A 21,420-nucleotide genomic window follows, 5' to 3' on the forward strand; every position below is an offset into this window, starting at 1 on the left:
CTACTTATTATCAGCAGGTTCTTGCGGATATTCTAAGTTATTGTTTATTAGTACCTCAGTTCAAGATTATGAACTAACTCTGAAGTGATTAATAAAAAATTTAAGTTTCCAGCCGGGTGCGTTGGCTCATGCCTGTAATCCCAACACTTTGGGAGGCCGAGGCAGACAGATCACGAGGTCAGGAGTTCGAGACCTGGCCAACATGGGGAAACCCTCTCTCTACTAAAAATACAAAAGTAGCCGGGTGTGGTGGCACACACCTATAGTCCCAGCTACATGGGAGGCTGAGGCAGGAGAATCACTTGTACCTGGGGGCGGAGGTTGCAGCGAGCTGAAAGCCAGGATCGTGCCACTGCACTCCAGCCTGGGCGACAGAGCAAGACTCTCTCTCAAAAAAAAAAAAAAAAAAAGTTTCCTTAGATCTGTCTGTCCTTAAAACCTTGTTAAAAATAGAGAAAGGAGAAGAGAGAAAGCTTGAGGAGAAATAGAAAGAGAGAGAAGGTGATAATGAGTGAAAGGAATGAACAATAATAAAAGAGGAAGGACAAGAGCCAGTATGGAATTTTTATGATGAAGAGCTGCTGGGTGCACAGTTCATGAGTCTCTTTTACTTTTAGCATTTCTCTTGAACTTGAATATATAAAATTCCTTTTAGAGAGTTTTCCTGCTACAGTAAAACAAATGCAAAAAAAAATTCTTACACAGTTCAGTTTCTTCTAAAATCAAGACTGCCTTAGAAAATTCTCCTTTGAGGGTAACAGGTGACTATCTCTCTGTCTTAAAGTTCTGTCATGAAGTACTGTTAAACCCTACCTTCATCAAACCAGGTCTATAAATACAACTGTAAATACAAAATTAAATAGAACAGTATTTTCTTTATAATTGTTTGGCAGTATCAGTTTATAATAGTAGATATTTTTTTGGGAGTTGTTTTAGAGCACTGAAAATAAGAGTTCAAGATTTTTTTTTCTCAAACACCGTTTCAGAAATATATCAATTGTATAGGATGGCAGATGTATATTAAAATTCCTTCAAAATGTGTTTATCAGCTTGCCTTCTTCTGTTTATAGACTTATTTGTGATACATTTGATATATGATATTTTTTCTTTCTCCTGAGGGTTACATGTTGGGATTTTTTTTTCTTTTATAATGCTACCCTCAGTGGAAAGGGTCAAGAACCAGTGGGATGGCACCCAGCATGGCGTTGAGCTAAGACAGCAGCAGCTTGAGGACATGATTATTGACAGTCTTCAGTGGGATGACCATAGGGAGGAGACTGAAGAACTGATGAGAAAATATGAGGCTCGACTCTATATTCTTCAGCAAGCCCGACGGGATCCACTCACCAAACAAATTTCTGATAACCAAGTAAGACTCATCAGATATTTTTTGGCAGTATTGTTTTGTTGGATATACTTTTTTTCTATTGTTCACTGTAATTCTTAACAATAGGACCCTGCCATGTTTTTTCCTAAGTTCTTAGAGTGTCTAATGAAATTTATATGAAGAATTTGATCTGGAAGATTTTTTTCGAAAAATTTCTGGAGGCATAACAAGTAAGAATATGCATGTCTCCGAGATTTATAGCTCACTGACTTTTTGCAAGTGAAACACACCCTCAAATCAGCATCTAGAAAGAGAACACTTTCAAGATTCCAGGAACCCTCTTTTGCTCCCTTCTGTACTGTATTAGTCTGTTCTCACATTGCTATAAATAACTACCTGAGACTGAGTAATTTATGAAGAAAGGAGATTTAATTGACTCACAGTTCATTTGAGGGCTACTGTAGTGAAGCATGACTGGGAGGTACCAGGAAACTTAAAATCATGGTGGAAGGCAAAGGGGAAGCAGGCACCTTCTTTACAAGGCAGCAAGACAGAGAGAGATAGAAGGGAGAAGTGCCACACATTTTATTTATTTATTGGAGACATTGTCTCACTCTGCCGCCCAGGCTGGAATGCAGTGGCACTATCTCAGCTCATTGCAACAGCCACCTCTTGGGTTCCAGCGATTCTTGCCTCAGCCTTCCAAGTAGCTGGGATGACAGGCGTGCACCACCATGCCCAGCTAATTTTTGTATTTTCTGTAGAGACGGGGTTCCGCCATGTTGCCCAGGCTTGTCTGCAATTCCTGAGCTCAAGTAATCTGCTCACTTTGGCCTCCCAAGTGTCACACACTGTTAAACCATCTGATCTTGTGAGAACTCACTATCACAAGAACAGCACAGGGGAAATTCATCCCCATGATCCAGTCACCTCCCACCAGGCTCCTCCTTCGATTGGACATGAGATTTGGGTGGGGACACAAATCCAAACCATATTACTTACTTACCCTGAAGGTTATTTTTATTAATAAGTTTTTCCAAGACTTTCATTTGAGGACTACTATAGTGAACAAATCAGATAAGTAAGTTTAGTTTCCTTTAATGACTTTTTAACCAAACTGTTTTATCAATTTCGTAATAGCAGACATCTTTTTTGTCATCAGTTCAGTTATAGAGTTGATAATATTGAACAACTATGGTATTTTTAAAAGTGCTTTTAAGATTCTCTGTATAAAATTATAAAATATTCTTGAATTGGAGGTTTTAGTTGTGAGGTTATAGTTTGGTATAACATTTATTTGCCCTTCAGCTAGCCTAAGATGGAAGTGTATATTTGTGAAGAATTTAAGAAAGTATATGTAGAAAACAATCGAAAATGTGGAAGTATGTTTTTATTCTCCACAAATGCAGACTTTACTTGGTTACAGTTTTAAAAGCAAGTGGCCAGTTATATGCATTTCTGGATCATTCTGTGTGTTTGTGATACTGCTGACTGTTTCCACCAAATGACTCCCAAGTAATAGTGAAGCCCCTGGCCCCTTAACTAGAGGAATACAATTAAAAGTGATGTCAGTGTTTCAGTTATCATATTAGAACATTATTTTTTAATCAGCAGTGTGATTCTTTTCTTCTGAAACCTTAGGCTGATTTAAAATCTTCCCAATTGCTACAAAAAGCATTATATTAAAGGTTTCAGTTGTCATTTAGATTTCATGGTGAGTACCTTGATCCAGAGACTCTCAGAGGCTGAAAAACTATGTCAAAGAACCAATGCCAGTGGACAAATTCAGCATCAGTTTGGCTATTCAAGCAAACTCTCAGTAAACCTTGCTTGGCAGCTTGATCCATTCAAGTGGTTATCTTTGTAAACACACCTTGTGATCCAGGGGCAAGAGATGGAAGACGTCCATGTTGTTGATTCTTCACGTTTCTCCAGGCATGTATGCAGGAACTGTCTCTGTATTCAGTCCTTTATGACGCATGTCCGTGTAAGGATCAGAGAGGTACAGCAGAAGGAATGAAAAAGACAAATGGTTTGAGGAAGGAAAATATCTCAAAAAGAAAATGATAATAATCTTGTAATATTGTCATCTATGTACTCGATCACTTTCTTGGACATGTTTCTTTTCACTTCTACTAATTTTGGTTTAAGCTTACATATAACAAAAGGGTTTGCCCCCAGTCTGTTTTCATCCTGTGATATCTGTATCTAAAGCATGTCAAAATCTGCTGGGAGTACCATTGTTTTGATTATACTAATTACTGAGTGACCAAGTCTAACAAACAGACCTGCACTTGCACCTCAGATACTGCTTCAAGAACTGGGTCCTGGAGATGGTATCGTCATGGCGTTCGATAACGTCCTGCAGAAACTCCTGGAGGAATATGGGAGTGATGACACAAGGAATGTGAAAGAAACCACAGAGTACTTAAAAACATCATGGATCAATCTCAAACAAAGGTAAGTCTAAGGCCCTGGCAGGTAAATGTATATTGTCAAGTTGAGAATTTGATGGCTTTGGCTTTCTCGTGGAAACCTGCCAAACATGTGGCTACTACAAGTACATTTTATTATTATGTATTTTTATACTGTGATGTTCTGAGTTAGTATTATCATACTTAGTACAGAATGTATGCTTATACAATATGTTTTTGAATTTTTACAATGGAGTTTTTTATTTTATTTTTTTAAATCAGCCTAAACCTTGCCAATGATTATGTGTTCTGATTGTCTTACGCTCTCAGTATTATCTAGAATACACTTTGTAGTCTTCTGATGGTAAGGAGTGCAGGTGTTTACAGATGCATCAGGGTAATGGTATCCCTAAAGGTAATTGGAATAGCGTGCTATTTGGGTGGGGCATCCTAAGTTGAGGACCAGACACACATGGATCCAACACTAGATCCCTGAAATAATCTATGTGCATTTAGGATTTTAGTTAATTTACTATCTTTTTTCCCATTACTTTGTCTAGTCAGAGTATTTGGAACAGCCCAAAATAGAATATGTGTTTACAAGAGAATTTTCTGTCACTTGAATCACTTGAACACCTAGAATTTGAGAAACTATAAACAGTGATTAGCATCTCTTTAAGACTGCATATTTATATTCATCATTAGTAAAAAAAGATGTTTACATCATGCATATAGTACTGGGAATGCCTGTGTCTAGGTGAAATTACGCACATCTTTATTAAAATGCAACTGTCTTAAAACCAATTTGGTATCAAAACACATCTATTTTGACGTGAATAAAATGGGTATTAGAGCACTTTATATTCCTGATATATTCCTGCTAATAAAGTATGGCTAAGCATTTAATAACATTTTGACATGGATACGTTTTATACACTTCCAGAGTGTTATTTTTAGTTACAATCTCTGAAGCTCTGAAAACTCAAAGAAGAGGGTTATGATGGCACAATGTGAGGTTGAATGTGTTGTTAGATATACCTTGGATACTGGAGAAAATAAGACTGGGTTAGCAAAGACAAAACTTCACAAGTGGTTAAAGCAGAGTGGCTATAATATTGGTCTTTCTAACATTTTACTACAACTTTTCTCTTTTATTATAATAGGTTATTTGGATTTAGTAAGGATATCATAACTCAGGCAGGGAAGAAGGTGAATTAAAAACAGCTTTAACCTTAAGAGATAGCATTAGGAGATATACCTAATGTTAAATGTGAGTCAATGGGTGCAGCACACCGACATGGCACATGTATACATATGTAACAAACCTGCACGTTGTGCACATGTACCCTAAAACTTAAAGTATAATAATAATAATTAAAAAAAAGAAAAGACCTACAATCAGACAAAGCAGGTTAGAGAATTTCTTTATGGCCATCTCCAAGACAGAAAGGTAGGGGAAGACTCCTGCCTTCAGGAGAGAAAGAAGGAGGTGAAAGGGCAGGAGAAGGTCACAGAGAGAGATTGTTTTCTGAGGCCTGCTTCTGAGCCCTGAGGCACCCCAATATTAGAACAAAAGGCTATAACAAGTGTTATGGGAGTTATGTTGCAGGAACTGTGGATGAAAACATATACGTATTACAGTAAGTACGATGAATAAAAATTATTTGCATAATATAGCTAACATAAAAAAAAGAGATATAGTCCTTAAATATGCTCTGTCTTTGTGTTTCCAAAAATTCCATGTATAAGAGTTAGGACTTTGTTTTCCTTGTAAACTTAACAAAAAATTTATCCGTTAGGAATGTGTGGCCTGCTTTATTTAGCACCTCCAATTCTTCTTCTTATTTTTTTTTTTTGCTTTTACTTTGTAAATATTTTAAGACAGCCTACAGCAGTAGTTGGATTAGATGGAAGAGGCAATTAAAAATGAATTATATTGCAAGGTGATTTTTCGTTTATCATAGCTAAGACAATTACAATGTTCCAGTTTCTTTGTAGTTACAAGTGGTTGTCCTTATTGTGTTTTCTCTCTGCATTTTCCGGGGGGTGGAAATAAGTAATTATATTAATATTTAGACATGATTTAGATATATTGTTATCTATAAAACAGGGAAAACAGAGCAAAACTGGCTCATAGGATCCCTTCGTGAATGATAACTAGGGCTTCTATATGTAAAGAGAGTTTTCTCTTTTAAACCCAGTGAACTTTACAATTTTTAACTATTTTAAATGGACATCTTTGTAGAATATATAAATCTTTCTTTGCCTTCTTAAAGCTTGTGAATGTATATTTAACTTTTTTCTGAATTCTTGGTAGTATTGTTGCAAAGATAGAATTAAGGAACTTTAATGGATACGAGTGACCTTAGAGTTCTTCTGAACCAGTGTTTCTCAACCTTTCTTTACATTATCGCTTCCCTAAGGAGCCTGTGTAGACTCATCTTCCCATGAAATTTTAATACCATGATATACTGTGTACTGTATGGTTGTGCTTTATACATAAAAAGAATACATTTTTTCACCCTCCCCCTGAAAAGAAATAACCATTTATTACCTGTGTTGAGAATACATGGTCTAATCTAATATTCTCAGGCTCAGAGAAGTTAAGTGACATGTTCAAAGTCATGCAACACAGTCAGGATGATATTTTTCTATACTAAATGGTAATGCTCTTCATGCTGTGAGTTCTGAAGAATTGGCAGTAAATTTATTCAGGCTGCTATACTTTGTGAGATTTGGGGCTTTGTTTTGTGCGTATAAATTTTGAGTGTCGTCTCATTGTCAGGCACTGTACTGACCTCTTCACACACATCATTTCATTTAATCTTCACAACAACTGCAGGAGAGAGGTAGCATTTTCATCAGTCCTATGTTAATGAATAAACTGAAGTACAGAGAAGTTAAGGAATTACTCAAGACTACACAGCTTATAATGGCAGAGTTGGGATTGGAATTCAAGCTTGACTGGCAAGCCAGGCTCTTATTGTCTCTAAAAACAGTTTCATTTTTGTTCTTTGAATCAGACTGTCAGCCGTTGCTGACATTCTTGGTGACTGCTTTGTGTACCCGCCTCTCAGTTCTGTCTGTAATTCCGCTTACTGATTCTTATCTGTGTTGAGTTTAGAAGCCATATCAGATGAAAGATACGGGGCCTTTTTTATGCATAATGTAATGCACTCCAGTACGTGGCCATCACACCCCGTCTAATGGCTGCTGAGAGGCCTTTTTACCATGGCTGCCCTCTTATCTTCCAGCCTGTTCTTTATATACATCATTGTCAGCCAAATTCTGGAGGGGTGAAGGGTTGTTATATTTGCACATGGAATACTGTGCAGCATAATGTGTGAAGTTCAATATCAGCTTTCAAAGGAAATGTTTTGTATGAATTGCAGTTAGCCTAAATAATTTAGCTATTCACAATTATAAGTCCACAATCCCTTATCTACAATGCCAAAATCTAAAAACAGCTTTGATAACAGAAATCTTTGAATTACCATGCAGCTCTTTATTAAAGTCTTTATTTATTCTGGTTAGTATGAATAGCCTTTTTCCTTGCTGCAGAAATATTAATGTGTTTGATTGCTTCCCCAGACCCTGTTCAGGGGTAGTAATTAATATAGTTACTTTCATAATATTAGTTTTCTAATGTTCAAAAATAATATTACTTCTGAAACGCAACTGAATCCTGATTTTTTGGATTCTTTGAAAAGTAGGCCTGTCTCTAATGTTTCTAACTAATCTATATATCCTGACCACTACTTTTTTTACTTATCACTTTTTTTCCTTCCATCTCTTAATGCTAATTAACAAATTTTCTAGTGCCAGTTGAGATAGTGATTGTTGAAATGTGTTTATAGCACAGTCAGTGTGGATGCCTGATTTGGGTCTAAAATGCTATTTTAGCTGTATATATTTTGGCACTCCAGGGCAAAAATAACATTATATATATATATATATATATATATATATATATATATATATATATATATATATATACATACACACACACACGTATACACACCTGTGTAACACACATGTATATATACATACACATATATGTGTGTGTTTATACACACACATATACACACACATATAACTGTGTGTATAGACGTGTTTGCACATGCATGTATATACAGGTATGTATATATATGCACACTCATGTATATACACACATAGTTATCTACACTGAAGTATTGTAAAGGAAATGAGACAGTATAACTGTGTGCTATAAATAGTTTCTTAGAAATCACTAATTACTCTGTGTTTTTCTCCTTGTCCTTATCGCATTTTACCTTGCCTATGTTAAGGTATTTCTAGGTTTGTACAGGCAGAACAGAAAGCACTGAGTGTAAGGTATATGGGGCAATCCTTGGTTAAAAGCCCATCTTAGGCACTTGCCTTCTGTGCTAACCTATAGGAAGTTATTTCAACTCACCGAGTCACCATTTCCTTGATTCTAAAGTGGAGAACATGTCTAATATGTGGGGTTATTGTGATATCAAAAGTTATGTGTAAAAGTTCTTGGTAGGTAGTATATGCTTAAGAAAAAGATGCCCAAAGTGTCATCATATGCTCTTTCATATAATGTCTTTCTGATAAGTCCACTTCCTTTAGTCAAATGCACAGTACTTTCTGGGGTTAAATTAGCAGAAGGTTGAGTCATTATCAGTTGTTTGTCCATAGTCATTTCTAACTCTTTCTACTTTAATTAATGATAAAATACTTCTTTGTCTGCTTTTCTGAGTGCAGTATAGATATTCTAAAATTTTATTAACAGATGAAATTTCTTAAAAAATGCAGTTTCCTTGGTTTGCAGAATTATCACAGTTGCTGAATTTACCTTGCAATTAAGCATTTTCTGCCAAAGCAAAAGTCCAACCATCCTGGGAAGAAAAGATACGGAATTTAAAAAGACACAATTATTTATTTAAAAAAATATTTTATTTTATTTTATTTTATGTTCCAGGATACATGTGCAGGACATGCAGGTTTATGACATAGGTAAATGTGGTGGTTTGCTGCATCTATCAACCCATTACCTAGGTAGTAAGTCCAGCATTCATTAGCTATATATCCTGATGCTCTCCCTTCTCCTGCCCCCTTCCTACAGGCCCCAGTGTGTTGTTCCCCTCCCTGGGTCCATGTGTTCTCATTGTTGAGCTCACATTTATAAGTGAGAACATGCGGTGTTTGGTTTTCTGTTCCTGCATTAGTTTGCGGTGGATAATGGCTTCCAGTTCCATCCATGTCCCAGCAAAGGACATGATCTCATTCCTTTTTATGGCTGCATAATATTCCTCGGTATATAGGTACCACATTTTCTTTATCCAGTCCATCATTGATAGGTATTTGGGTTGATTCCATGTCTTAGCTATTGTGAACAGTGCTGCAATGAACATACACATACATGTATCTTTATAATAGAATGATTTATATTCCTGTGGGTATATACCCAGAAATGGGATTGGTGGGTAGAATGGTAGTTCTGTTGTTAGGTCTTTGAGGAATGCCACACTGTCTTCCACAATGGTTGAATTAATTTACATTCTCACCAACAGCATTAAAGCCTTCCTATTTCTCCACAGCCTCACCAGCATCTGTTGTTTCTTGACTGTTTAATAATTGCCATTCTGACTAGCATGAGATGGTATCCCATTGCGGTTTTGATCTGCATTTCTCTAATGCTCAGTAGTGTTGAGCTTTTTTTCATATGTTTGGTCACATAAATGTCCTCTTTTGAGAAGTGTCTGTTCATAAGACACAATTATTTAATGTGGGAGCACAAATACAGATTTATTCAGTAAGATAACTTTATTTTCTTCTTTTGAAATGCTATTATCTTTCTCATTAATATTTATTAATTAATAATGGCCAGCTAGACATGTGGAATGTATATAGTTTTCAAAAGGTTATTTAAATATTGTGTATAGTAAAGACTGATTTTGTAACTATTCTGAAAACAGGTTAAGTTTCAAAAATTTAATTTTGATTGACTTTCCAAGTAATTTTGTTGTATATTTGGAAGCTTCTATTATATCTGTTATTACTTTTTCAGTAATGATGTTTATTGTCCCTATAGATTAATAAAAATGAAGCTTTTTTCAGCATTTATTCTTTGTCCAATTTGGTCAATTCCTTTTAACAGTGATCAGTAGAAGATACTTATATTGGGATTGTTTCATAAGGCCTGATATCAGCCAGGCTCAACCTTCAAGCTCTTAAAAATGAATGCTGTAGCAGCTGTCATTCCCGAATGAATGGGCTTAGGTGAAAAGTACAGGTAGCCTTATCCTCCTAGCATGCCCACCAATATGAGGTTCAGAGATTTGGGTCAGTCAACTTGATTTATCCTCTCGGAAGCTTACTTCTTTCCCTGAAAATCACCTTTATTTTTCAACTTGTTTTGTTTATTTTCTTTGCTAGGATTTGATTTTTAGTTTTCCCTTCCAAGCTGGGAATAAAGCTGGCCAAAAAGAGAAGGGTAAAAATTATAGTCTTCTATATTTTCCTCTTCTGTTACGTTGTTTTAATATTTCAAGTATCATTTTATTACTTTTTTTAAAAAACAATTGCCAACAATGTCTTTGTGATAAATGCCTATGAATGTTAATGTTTTCATTTTGTAAATATCAAACTCAAGCATGCGGATATTTTCTCAGCACATTTAGCTCCATATCAAACAAACTAAAGAGCCAATGCCCACAGAAACAATGCCCACAGTCTTTGTTTTTGTTTTCATTTGTTTCTTTTTCCATTAATTGATTAATCAACCAGTTAAACAAGTATTTATTTAGCTTCCTATTTGCCAAGCTCTGTGACCAGCCCTAAAGATTCAACCATAAATACACCTCATTCCTGCTCCCAGGAAGCTGACATTGCATAGGGGGAGCCTGCAATGTACGTAAGTGGTAAATAGGAAAATAATACATAATTATAGGAGGTTGTTTTGGAGGTAAGAGAAATTAAAGAGGTGCTATGTAAGAGAGGGACTTAACTGAGGCAAATTTAGAAAGCATAACTTGGTGGCATTTGAGCTGGTTCTGAAGGTTAAGAAGGAACCATCTGAAGAAAATTACAGAGTGAACAGCAAATATAAAAGTCATGAGGCAGGAAAGAGCACAGCATGTGGTTGCAATATAATGAATATGATGGTAAGAGCTTGAGATGCGGTAGGAGAGGAAGGCAGAGGCCAGATCATGCTGAGCTTTGTAAGACATGGGGTATTAGTCCGTTTTCATACTGCCATAAAGAACTGCCTGAGACTGGGTAATTTATAAAGGAAAGAGTTTTAACTGACTTATAGTTCAGCATGGCAGGGGAGACCTCAGGAAACTTACAATCATGGCGGAAGGTGAAGGGGAAGCAAGGCACCTTCTTCACAAGGTGGCAGGAAGAGAATTGCTGAGTGAAGGGGGAAGAGCTCCTTATAAAACTATCAGATCTTGTGAAAACTCACTCATTATCACGAGAACAACATGGGGGAAACCATCCCCATTATCCAATTATGTCCACCTGGTCTCTCCCTTGACACATGGGGATATAGGGGTTATAATTCAAGGTGAGATTTGGGTGTGGATACAAAACCTAATCATATCACATGGGAAGGAGTTTGGATATTAAAAGTACAATAGAAAGCTATTGGAATTGTTAAGGAAGGGAGTGACACTGTCTAATGTGTATATATATTAAAATTTAATCTCTCTGGATCTTATGTGGATAATAGGTTGCTAGTGGGTATAGTAGAATAATTGCGAAGATCAGAAAGGAAGTGATGGTTGTGGTCCAACTGGGACATGGTGGTCCCCGTGGCTACTGTATGCCAGCAATGATGGAAATAAGATGTTAGATTTGCGATATGCCTTGGAAGTAGAAAAGACATTTTGGTGGATTAGATATATGCCTTAAGGGCTTGGAAACAATCCAAGATGGTATTTTGTAAAAGGATGAGTGGTGGTACCATTCACCGAATTGGGAAAGGATGTGGGAGTTTTGGAAGAACAAAAATTGCAAGTTGGATTTTGTTAAGTTTGAGATGCCTGTTAGATATCTAAGTATATAGGTTAAATAGGCAATTATGTATGTTAATCTGGAACTCAGATGTTCTGGACCTCAGATATGAATTGAGAGTTCTCAGCATTCACATTGGAGGTTGAACATGTGGGACTGGATGAGATCACCAGGGAAGGAGTGAAGATGAAGAAGAGAGGGGTATGCTTAACTGAGTCCATAAGGCCTAGGGTTTGGTGATTGAACAAAAAAGGAGGAAGGAGCAAAAGGGACTCAGAAAAAATTTCCAATGAAGTGAAAAAACGCAGATTTGTCATGTTCAGAAATAGAGGGAGGAGAATATCTCTTAGAGGAAATGGAGAGAGGAGAATGTTTCTAAGAAAGAATGATCTACTGGATTGAATTGGGCTGAATAACCAAATAGGATGACACAGCACACTATTTTGGTAATTCCACAGCTTGGACATTCCTGGTGATTTTGGAAAGAGCAATTTGGAGGAAGTAATGTGGCTGGAAGCTAGAGAGTGAGATGAAGGTGAAGAAGTAGAAACAGTTTGTGGAAACAACTTTAGAGAAGTTTGTGTGAAGAGGGACAGAGATTTTAGGTAGTGCTTAGTGTGGGGGCTGTAAGGTTAAGAGAGTCGATTGACTTTTCTGTTAAAATGGATTATAGTAAAGCATGTTTGTGTGCCTATGAGAATGACCCACTAGATGAGAGACTGATGATTAAATGCAGAGGGGACAAAGGAAGGAGGACAGGAAGGCTTTGAGAAGATAAGAAAGTGAGATTTAGAGAATTGGGTTTGGTAAGAACTGGAATGCATTTTTCATTATGACCAGAAAAGTCAACGAGAAGGTGAGTTTAGATGTACGTGAACTAGACCATTAGTGGTGGAAGATGAAAGGTTCTCCATGCAAGAACTGAGCTTTATGATCTATCGAGCACATTGTCAGTGAAGTTGGAGGTAGGACTAAGAGAAGTTGGAAGAGAGAGGATTGGGTGTAAGTTCAGATCTTTGTGAGTGGGATGGAGAGTTTCCTAGGGTAAATATATGGTATTGCTGGGCAGTAATGAGTGCCTATTTGTGGTTTATATTATTAAATGTAAGGAAAGGTAGCCCTGTTGAACTACTCTTTAATAGCATTCATCTACTCAATGAGGCAATGAAGAAGAATGCAGATGGAAGTGGGAGAAAGATGGAGCAGGGAAGAGTAAGATCTTTGGAAATGAGAGGAGAACAGGATTGCCTGTGGTCCATAATAGTGTCTAATGTGTCCCTTTCTCTGGGTGGTGTCATTCCTCACTAGAGCTATGGCTTGGCAAACAGACCTTAAGTTGGATTTCAAACTTCACTTCCTCATTGAGGCAGTGGTCAACCTCTATATACAGTGCCCCTGAACCTGAAGCTCAGTATAGGAACAGAGTGGATACATGTGTTGTGCTTTCTACAGTGGGATTTTGCCTGGAAGATGGGTGAACAATAACCTGGAGGTAGCAGTGGGGAGCAGGGAGGACCCTTATTCCAGCTTCTCAAACTGAGGCATAAAGGATCTGAGAGAAAAAGGAAAAGACTTCATGAAAAGTTTGCAGGGAACCCCATGCAGTAGCTCATGTCTGTAATCCAGCACTTTGGGAGGCTGAGGCAGGTGAATCGCTTGAGTCCAGGAGTTCCAGACTAGCCTGGGAAATATGGCAAAACCTCATCTCTACAAAAAATACAAAAATCAGCTGGGTGTGGTGACACATGCCTGTGGTCCCAGCTACTAGGGAGGCTGAGGTGGTAGGTTCGATTGAGCCTAGGAGGTGGAGATTGCAGTGAGCTGTGATCACACCACTGCACTCCAGCCTTGGCGACAGAACCAGACTCTGGAAAAAACAAAAAGTTTGCAGGAGAAATAATGGCCCTATGGAAACTGGTTTCAGTGAAGACAAAAAGGGATTGGCCTGGGGAGATGGAAGGTACAGCAGAGTCTGCTGATCCTAGAAGAGGAGCTCTAGAGCATGGTGGAAGAAGGGTTGGGGAGTGTGTTGGAGCAGACTGGGGAAGGTATTGGAGTTATGATTCAATATTGGTTGACTAATGAAGACCAAATATCTGGTAGTGACTTAGCTAAAGGGGAAATAGGATGTGGTGAGGGAAATCCTCTCAAAGAAATGGCTCTGTGGTCTTGACTATTTATTTCCTGACAATCACAGCCCCAAGAGAGATGCTCCTTTGGGTTCACAAGGCTGTGGGCAGGGATCATGGGGTAGCAGCAGGGGATTGTGAAATGAAGACTGACTCTTCTTTCAACTGCATTTTTCCCCACAGCATGCTTTAATGTATTTCCCAGGTGAATATTATTTAAAAGAACAAAATTACCTTGTGAAGGTGCTCACTGAAAAGTTTAAGGTATTGTTTCATTGTAAGTTTTCTACCTGCCACTCAAACTACTGATGCTGCTGTTTTTCATTCTAAAAGAGATAAATGTATTTAAATATTATATTAATGTAAAGGTCACCTTTTGAGCACACCAAAATTTGGCAACACACATTGATGGGTTTCCTGAGATGCTCTTTTCATTAAACTCTTTAAAAAGAGAGACATATCTATTCATGTTCAAATACTCTTTTGACCAATTATAAGTAAATGCACAATTGATTAAATAATATATCTTGTAGCTTAAAATATCAAGTATTATTTAACATCTTTAAAATAACATTTTAAAAAGGCAAGTATGTCATGTTTTATTGTGTTACAAAATGATTATAGGCTATAGGGTGTCATAGCTGCTTTTATTACAAAAATATCTTTTAAAAGCTAAGCGTTTACATTTAAAAAAAATCCTACTTCCCTTTACTGTAAAGTGTTATAAATCTGTCACCCGTGGATGTCCTTAAATCTTTTTTGGGAAGCTATTTATATTTTTACTTGGTGTCATTTCTTGCAGTAAAGACTTTTATAGTCTGTTGCTTCTTCTGTTTGAAGTAAAAAAAAAAATTATTTCTGCTAATGTTACCCTTCTAAACTTAAAATGTTGTATCTTTAGGTTTTTAGTCTGTGTTCTTTGTGATTTGTAGATTTAACAAAAGATTTAGAAAAAAATTTCTTTGCCTTTGTCTTCTAGCCACAAATTCCTAAGCTTAAAATCATTTCTTTTCCTGTAACAGCATTCCTTCCCTTGTATTATCTCGTTATTTTTCTCAATACGTCCTCTAGCTGTGTTCTGATCTTTCTTGAGACGTAGCAGTCAGAACTGCCAAATATGAAATCTACATTGAGAATCATAGACGAATGCAAGTTCAGTGCTGGATGCGATCTTAGAACTCTTCCACATTAATGCTTCCCAACCTTTTTTGCGATCGGCACACTACTCATCTATTCCCGCCAGTCATCTTTCGTTTACATGCAGCAATTCTTAATGAAGCTGAATTTGAAACTAGGGATGGAGGTGAGAGTGGAGGAACACTTCTAGTAGGTTTTGTGATTCCTGTGATGGATTATGTAGTTTTAAAAGGATCTCTGGAGATTTTGAAATGGGTAATTTACTGATCCAGTACAAGCCCCTTATTTTAAGGATGAAAAAAATAAATTGGAGATTTGAAATGATTTACCCCAAGCCATACAGCTAGTAAATGGTGGAGGTGATAGAATTAGGTCATTGTCTTTTGAGAGCAGTGTACACAAATGGCATTAAAGGTGGTATATTCACCTGTGTAATAAAGTATGAATACGTGTTCCTGAGACTCTAATTTCAGTGATTTTATTGACTTATGATATTATGATAAATCATGTGGAGTTCCTTGAGAATGGATAAAAAATCTTGTAATATTGAGTATACCATACTCTAGCCTAGGGTCTAATTTTTAAAAGTAAGAAAAAATAAACTGGAGGTGGAGGAAACAACTAAGCTATAGTCTATTAGAAATTTTATATAAATTATATTAATTTCAAAAATCAGAATATAAAATAACATGTATAAGCTATGATTTTAAACTTAAACACATACATTCATTATAATAATATGAAGACAATTTGCACTGCTATAAGTAGGGTTTGACTTTTAGTATAGTCATTATGTTTAGTAGTTAAGTTTATGATAAAAATTTGATACCAGCTATATATGCATTAAAAAAAAATTCCAGGACACTTATCATTAAATTTCACATTTGCATGCAATAAGCAAAATTAATTGCCTAGTATTTCACCAAATTCATACATGAGGTTAGGGAAAATATTTACTGAGTATTCACTATATCTTGATACATTTATATGTGTATATCTCATTTCCTCCTTCAAATATTGCTGCAATATGGAGATGTTATTCCTATTGCTGTATAAGTTTATTCAATAAATACTTGTTGAGTTTCTACTGTATGTAGGTCCTGGTCCTATTGGGTGCACTGATGAGCAACAGCTTTAAACAGGCAAGAAAACAATTGCTTACTGTCATGATCAGAGATACAATGAGGAAGGCAGAAAAGTGTCCCCCAAAGTGATTATTCTGGATTTTCTGGGTGAGCCCCATTTCATCCCAGGAGTCCTTAAAGGTGGAGGAGGTGGCAGAAGAGTGGTTCAGAGAGATGTGATTTGACGACTTTACCTGCTGTTGCTGGATTTGAAGGTGGAAGAAGTGGCTATGAGTCAAGCAATGTGGCAACCTCTAGAAGTTGGAAAAGAAGAGGAACCAGATTCACCCCTAGACCCTCCAGAAATAAATGCAGCCCTGCTGATAACTTGATTTTAGTCTAGTGGAGACCCGTGTTGATCACTGACAAAACTGTAAGATAATAAACTTGTGTTGTTTTTTACCACAAAGTTTGTGGTTATTTATGATAGCAGCAATGAAACACCAATAGCCATGGTAGGGGAAACTATGGGATGCCTTGGGGAAGGTACCATGGTTTTGGAAAGTGTTTGCACCCAGGTCTGGATGGTCAGTAGAAGTTAACTAGGTGGGATGGAGAAAATTAGTGGAGGCTGGAGGAAAGGAGCAGGAGGATATTTAAGGTAAAAAAAAGTAAAATGTAGAGGTCTGGATGCGACAGAGGCAGTGACCACTCAGAGGATTAATAATTGGTTCATTTTTATAGATAAATAACATATGAAGTGTGAAGTGGGGAGATGCCTCCTGGGGAGGTGAGCCAGAGTCAGATGATGGAAAACCTGTGTATCAGGCAAAGTTTAGGGATGATGAAGACAATCCTTGCCCAAGCGCTCATGGCTAGTGAGCAATGGAGCTTTGTCTACCTTAATCCAAAATCCATATTTTTTTACTTATATAACCAACAAAGTAGACATCTCTTACAAAACAACTAAAATTTGTTTTTCTGAAAGTTTCATACAAAGTGAATATTTTTTAAAGTAGTATCTCTTTTCTCACTGATGATCAGTAGATAATTTGTCAATGGGTGGTCTAGCTTCTGGATTGAGAATGTTCCACTGGTCACCAAAGTGTGCTGCTGAAGTTACTTTACCCAGTGGAATACTGTCTGAGGCCAAGTGCTCATGGTCCCTTAGCTCACTTTTCCTTTGAAGTATGACCGTAGGTTGTCTACCTCCCCTCGTAGCCTTGTCCTTTATACTTGCTAGGTATTTAAATATCTGTCATATAAGAAGAATCATCTGCCTTTACACTTAGGTTTCTTGGACATTTGCATCCTTTTCCCTAGTTTGGACATTCTCAGGGTTTAATAGAATTAATCTGTAATGATCTCTTTTTACATTAGCTGTTGCCATATAACCTATTATGTGCATATGAATATTCTTAAATAATAAAAAAGAATTCTGATTATGGGAAATGAAGGTGTTTGACCTTACTAAATTTTTTAATGACTAAATTTTATATATTGAATGTTCTTAAAGGAGAATCACCTGTGTGTAGTGGATTGATTGCATATGTGCACTCCTTTAATCTTTGTTTTCTAGTGCCTTTTTAGCACAGCCTTCATTTGGCTATTCTTAATGTTTTTTCTGTTGATGTTTTAAAAATGGAAAATATGGGCAGGGTTTGGGGAAGGATAAAACACCACCAACAACAACTACTCAAATTCTAGTGGGTAACTTCTAAATTTTAAAAATTAAAATTCACCTATGATTACAAAAAAACCAACAACCACTAAGCACTGAAAGGTTTATAACAGAATATAGTTCTTTTCCCTCGACTCACTGCAGTCCCCTTCCTAGAGGCAACTATTCTCCTTACCTTCTTCTATCATTTTTACATTTCCATATTCTAAATAAAATGGGTATGCCATCATCTTTCAATTCTTTAGTATTAGAAATTGTCTGCTGATATCCTATTTTGGTAAATACATAGGAAGTTGCTTAGGGATGCTACTGTTCTTTTCCCTGCTTCGCCATTGAATTTTAGGTAAATACATATACAGTGTTGACATTATTTTGCTTGTCCAAACATTATTACCAGCTAAAAACTGAGGTTTACTGTAATTTTGTTTCCTATGTGTTTGTTTTACCTGAAATTAATAATTGCCTTATTTTTATATGCCTAGTTTTCTTTGCACCTATTGCTAATCCCTCCCACATTTTCCAGTGACCTGACAGTACAATTTTCCACAAAGCCAGTCACATTCAGCAGGCTATCACTTCTAATATTGTTCCTTGGTCCTTGGTGACCTCTCTTCTGGAGACATGCTTTCTAGGCCTGCTGCACAGCCATCATGCTGGGTATTTGCTTTGCTCCTAGTTTAGAATCCCTGTTGCTTGGATCTCATGGAAGTTTTGTGTTATTCGTTTGTTTTTGCCTTTTTTGTTTGTTTGTTTTGGTTTGGTTTATTTGTTTTCTTCTTGGGGCGATTTCCTCATTTTGTCTGAGTGTATCCTTTGTAAGTTTTGTCACGTTAAAACAGGAATACAGAGTGGTGGCAACGCTGAAGACAGCCCATACCTGCTCCAGTTTGGATTCAGACCCTCTTTTCTGTGATCTCCTCTCACCATTAACAGGAGAGCCCCTTTGCTTCTTCCTGGGCTGGATCTCTTTTTTATGCTTCTCATATCTTCCTCCTTCTTGATTTGCAAACTGAGTTCTGTGGGGGATATCTAGGAGCTTCTTGAAAAATGGTATGTAGGAGTTATTTTTTATAATTAGCTCAATTATTATTTTTAGTTTTTTTAAAAAAATTTTTACTTTAAGTTCTGGGATACATGTGCAGAATGTGCAGGTTTGTTACATAGGTATACATGTGCGTGGTGGTTTGCTGCACCTATCAACCTGTCATCTAGGTTTTAAGCCCCGCATGCATTAGGCATTTGTCCTAATGCTCTCCCTTCCCTTGCCCCCCACCCCCTGACAGGCCCCGGTGTGTGATGTTTCCCTCCCTGTGTCCATGTGTTCTCATTGTTCAACTCCCACTTATAAGTGAGAACATGCAGTGTTTGGTTTTATGTTCCTGTGTTAGTTTGCTGAGAATGATGGTTTCCAGCTTCATCCATGTCCCTGCAAAGGACATGAACTCATTCTTTTTTATGGCTGCATAGTATTCCATGTTGTATATGTGCCACATTTTCTTTATCCAGTCTATCATTGATGGGCATTTGGGTTGGTTCCCAGTCTTTGCTATTGTAAATAGTGCTACAGTAAACATACATGTGCATGTGTCTTTATAGTAGAATGATTTATAATCTTTTGCATATATACCCAGTAATGGGATTGCTGGGTCAAATGGTATTTCTGGTTCTAGATCCTTGAGGAATCACCACACTGTCTTCACAATAGTTGAACTAATTTACACTCCCACCAACAGTGTAAAAGCATTCCTATTTCTCCACATCCTCTCCAGCATCTGTTTTATCCCGACTTTTTAGTAATTGCCATTCTAACTGGTGTGAGATGGTATCTCATTGTGGTTTTGAGCTTTTTTTCATCTGTTTGTTGGCCGCATAAATGTCTTCCTTTGAGAAATGTCTGTTGATATCCTTCGCCTACTTTTTGATTTGGTAGTTTGATTTTTTCTTGTAAATTGTTTAACCGTAGGAGCTAATTTTAAAGACATAGCATGGCCGGGCACAGTGGCTCAGCCTGTAATGCCAGTACTTTTGGAGGCTGAGGCAGGCAGATCACTTGAAGTTGGGAGTTCAAGACCAGCCTGGCCAACATGGTGAAACCCTATCTCTACTAAAAAAAAAAAATACAAAAATTTGCTGGGTGTGGTGGCACATCCCTGTAGTTCCAGCACTTTGGGAGGCCGAGGCGGGCCGATCACCTGAGGTCAAGAGTTTGAGACCAGCCTAGTCAACATGGTGAAATCCTGTCTCTATTAAAAAAATACAAAAATTAGCCAGGTGTAGTGGCAGGCGCCAATAATCCCAACTACTTGGGAGGCTGAGGCAGGAGAATTACTTGAACTTGGGAGGTAGAGGTTACAGTGAGCTGAGATCACACCACTGCACTCCAGCCTTGGTGACAGAGCAAGACTCCATCTCTAGAATAAAATAAAATAAAATAAAATAAAGGAATATTATGGAAAGATTGTCATTTGGTAAATACTTGTATAAATAGGACTCAGGAATATGAAGGTATAAAAAGTTCTGCTGAAATGCAGTTTATAGAATGGGTGGAAAGATACGAAAACTATATAATGTAGTTAAAATACAATTTAAGAATGAAACAAGATCATCATTCAAGGCCTTTTTCCAGGATTCATGTGATTAATCATTGTTTGAAGAGGATTATTGACCTTTTACGAACTCATAACAAGGATACTGAACTGGGATGGAATATTCTGGAAGAGGTAGTCCTTAACCCTTAAAGGAGTCGTAGGATTGTGGTAGGATTGTGATAAATGGAGAGGGTCAGCAAGACATTTTTATGTGGATATAACATTTTCGTGTGGACACAATATTAAGAATATTCTAGAGAAAAAGGAGCACACCACTATTACCTAAACAGAGTATTGAAGAAAACTAGGGGATAAAGTTTGAGAAGTAAACTGGGATCAATTATGGAGGAAATTAAATTCCAGGCGAGGAAATTTGAACTGATTCTGCAGGTTAAGAAGTAAGTGCTAGGATGAGGTTGATGACATTCAAGAATGTCATATAAACAGAATGTTAGTATGTAGTCTTTAGTGTCTGGTTTCTTTGACTTAGCAGAATGCATGTGAGATTCCATGCATGTTGTTGCATGTATCAGTAGTTTGCTTATATTTATTGTGGAATAGTATTCCATTGTATCCCTGTACCAAACTTTCTTTATCCGTATGTAATACCAGTTGGTATTTGGGTTGTATTCAGTTTTTGGCCATTACCAATAAGGCTGCTATATACACTGGCATACAGATTTTATGTAGACATATGGTGGTTTTTTTTGTTGTTGTTTGTTTGTTTTTGAGACAGTTTCACTCTGTCACCCAGACTGGGGTGCAGTGGCACAATCTTGGCTCACTGCAACCTCTGCCTCCTGAATTCAAGCAATTCTTACTGCCTCAGCCTCCTGAGTAGCTGGGATTACAGGCATGCCCCACCATGCCCAGCTAATTTTTGTATTTTTAGTGGAGAAGGAATTTCACTATGTTGTCCAGGCTGGTCCTGAACTCCTGACCTCAAGTAATCTGCCTGCCTTGGCCTCCCAAAGTGCTGAGACTACAGGCATGAGCCACTGTGCCCCACCTAGACATATGTTTTTGTTTCTCTTGGATAAATATCTAGGGGTAAGATTGCTGAGTTGTATCAC

At 37.2% G+C, this 21,420-nt stretch overlaps 1 protein-coding gene across 1 annotated transcript in view; it reads left to right on the plus strand.

The window, feature by feature from the left end:
* The window catches only part of UTRN (utrophin), a 567,700-nt gene that overhangs the window by 268,190 nt on the left and 278,090 nt on the right, over positions 1 to 21,420 (plus strand). Inside the window, exons 49-50 of the mRNA NM_007124.3 lie at positions 1,164 to 1,369; positions 3,633 to 3,787. Of these exons, the coding sequence (NP_009055.2) occupies positions 1,164 to 1,369; positions 3,633 to 3,787 (361 nt within the window). The remainder of the gene's footprint in view (positions 1 to 1,163; positions 1,370 to 3,632; positions 3,788 to 21,420) is intronic.

The sequence above is a fragment of the Homo sapiens genome, chromosome 6 (genome assembly GCF_000001405.40).
Source record: "Homo sapiens chromosome 6, GRCh38.p14 Primary Assembly".
Taxonomy (NCBI): Eukaryota; Metazoa; Chordata; class Mammalia; order Primates; family Hominidae; genus Homo; species Homo sapiens.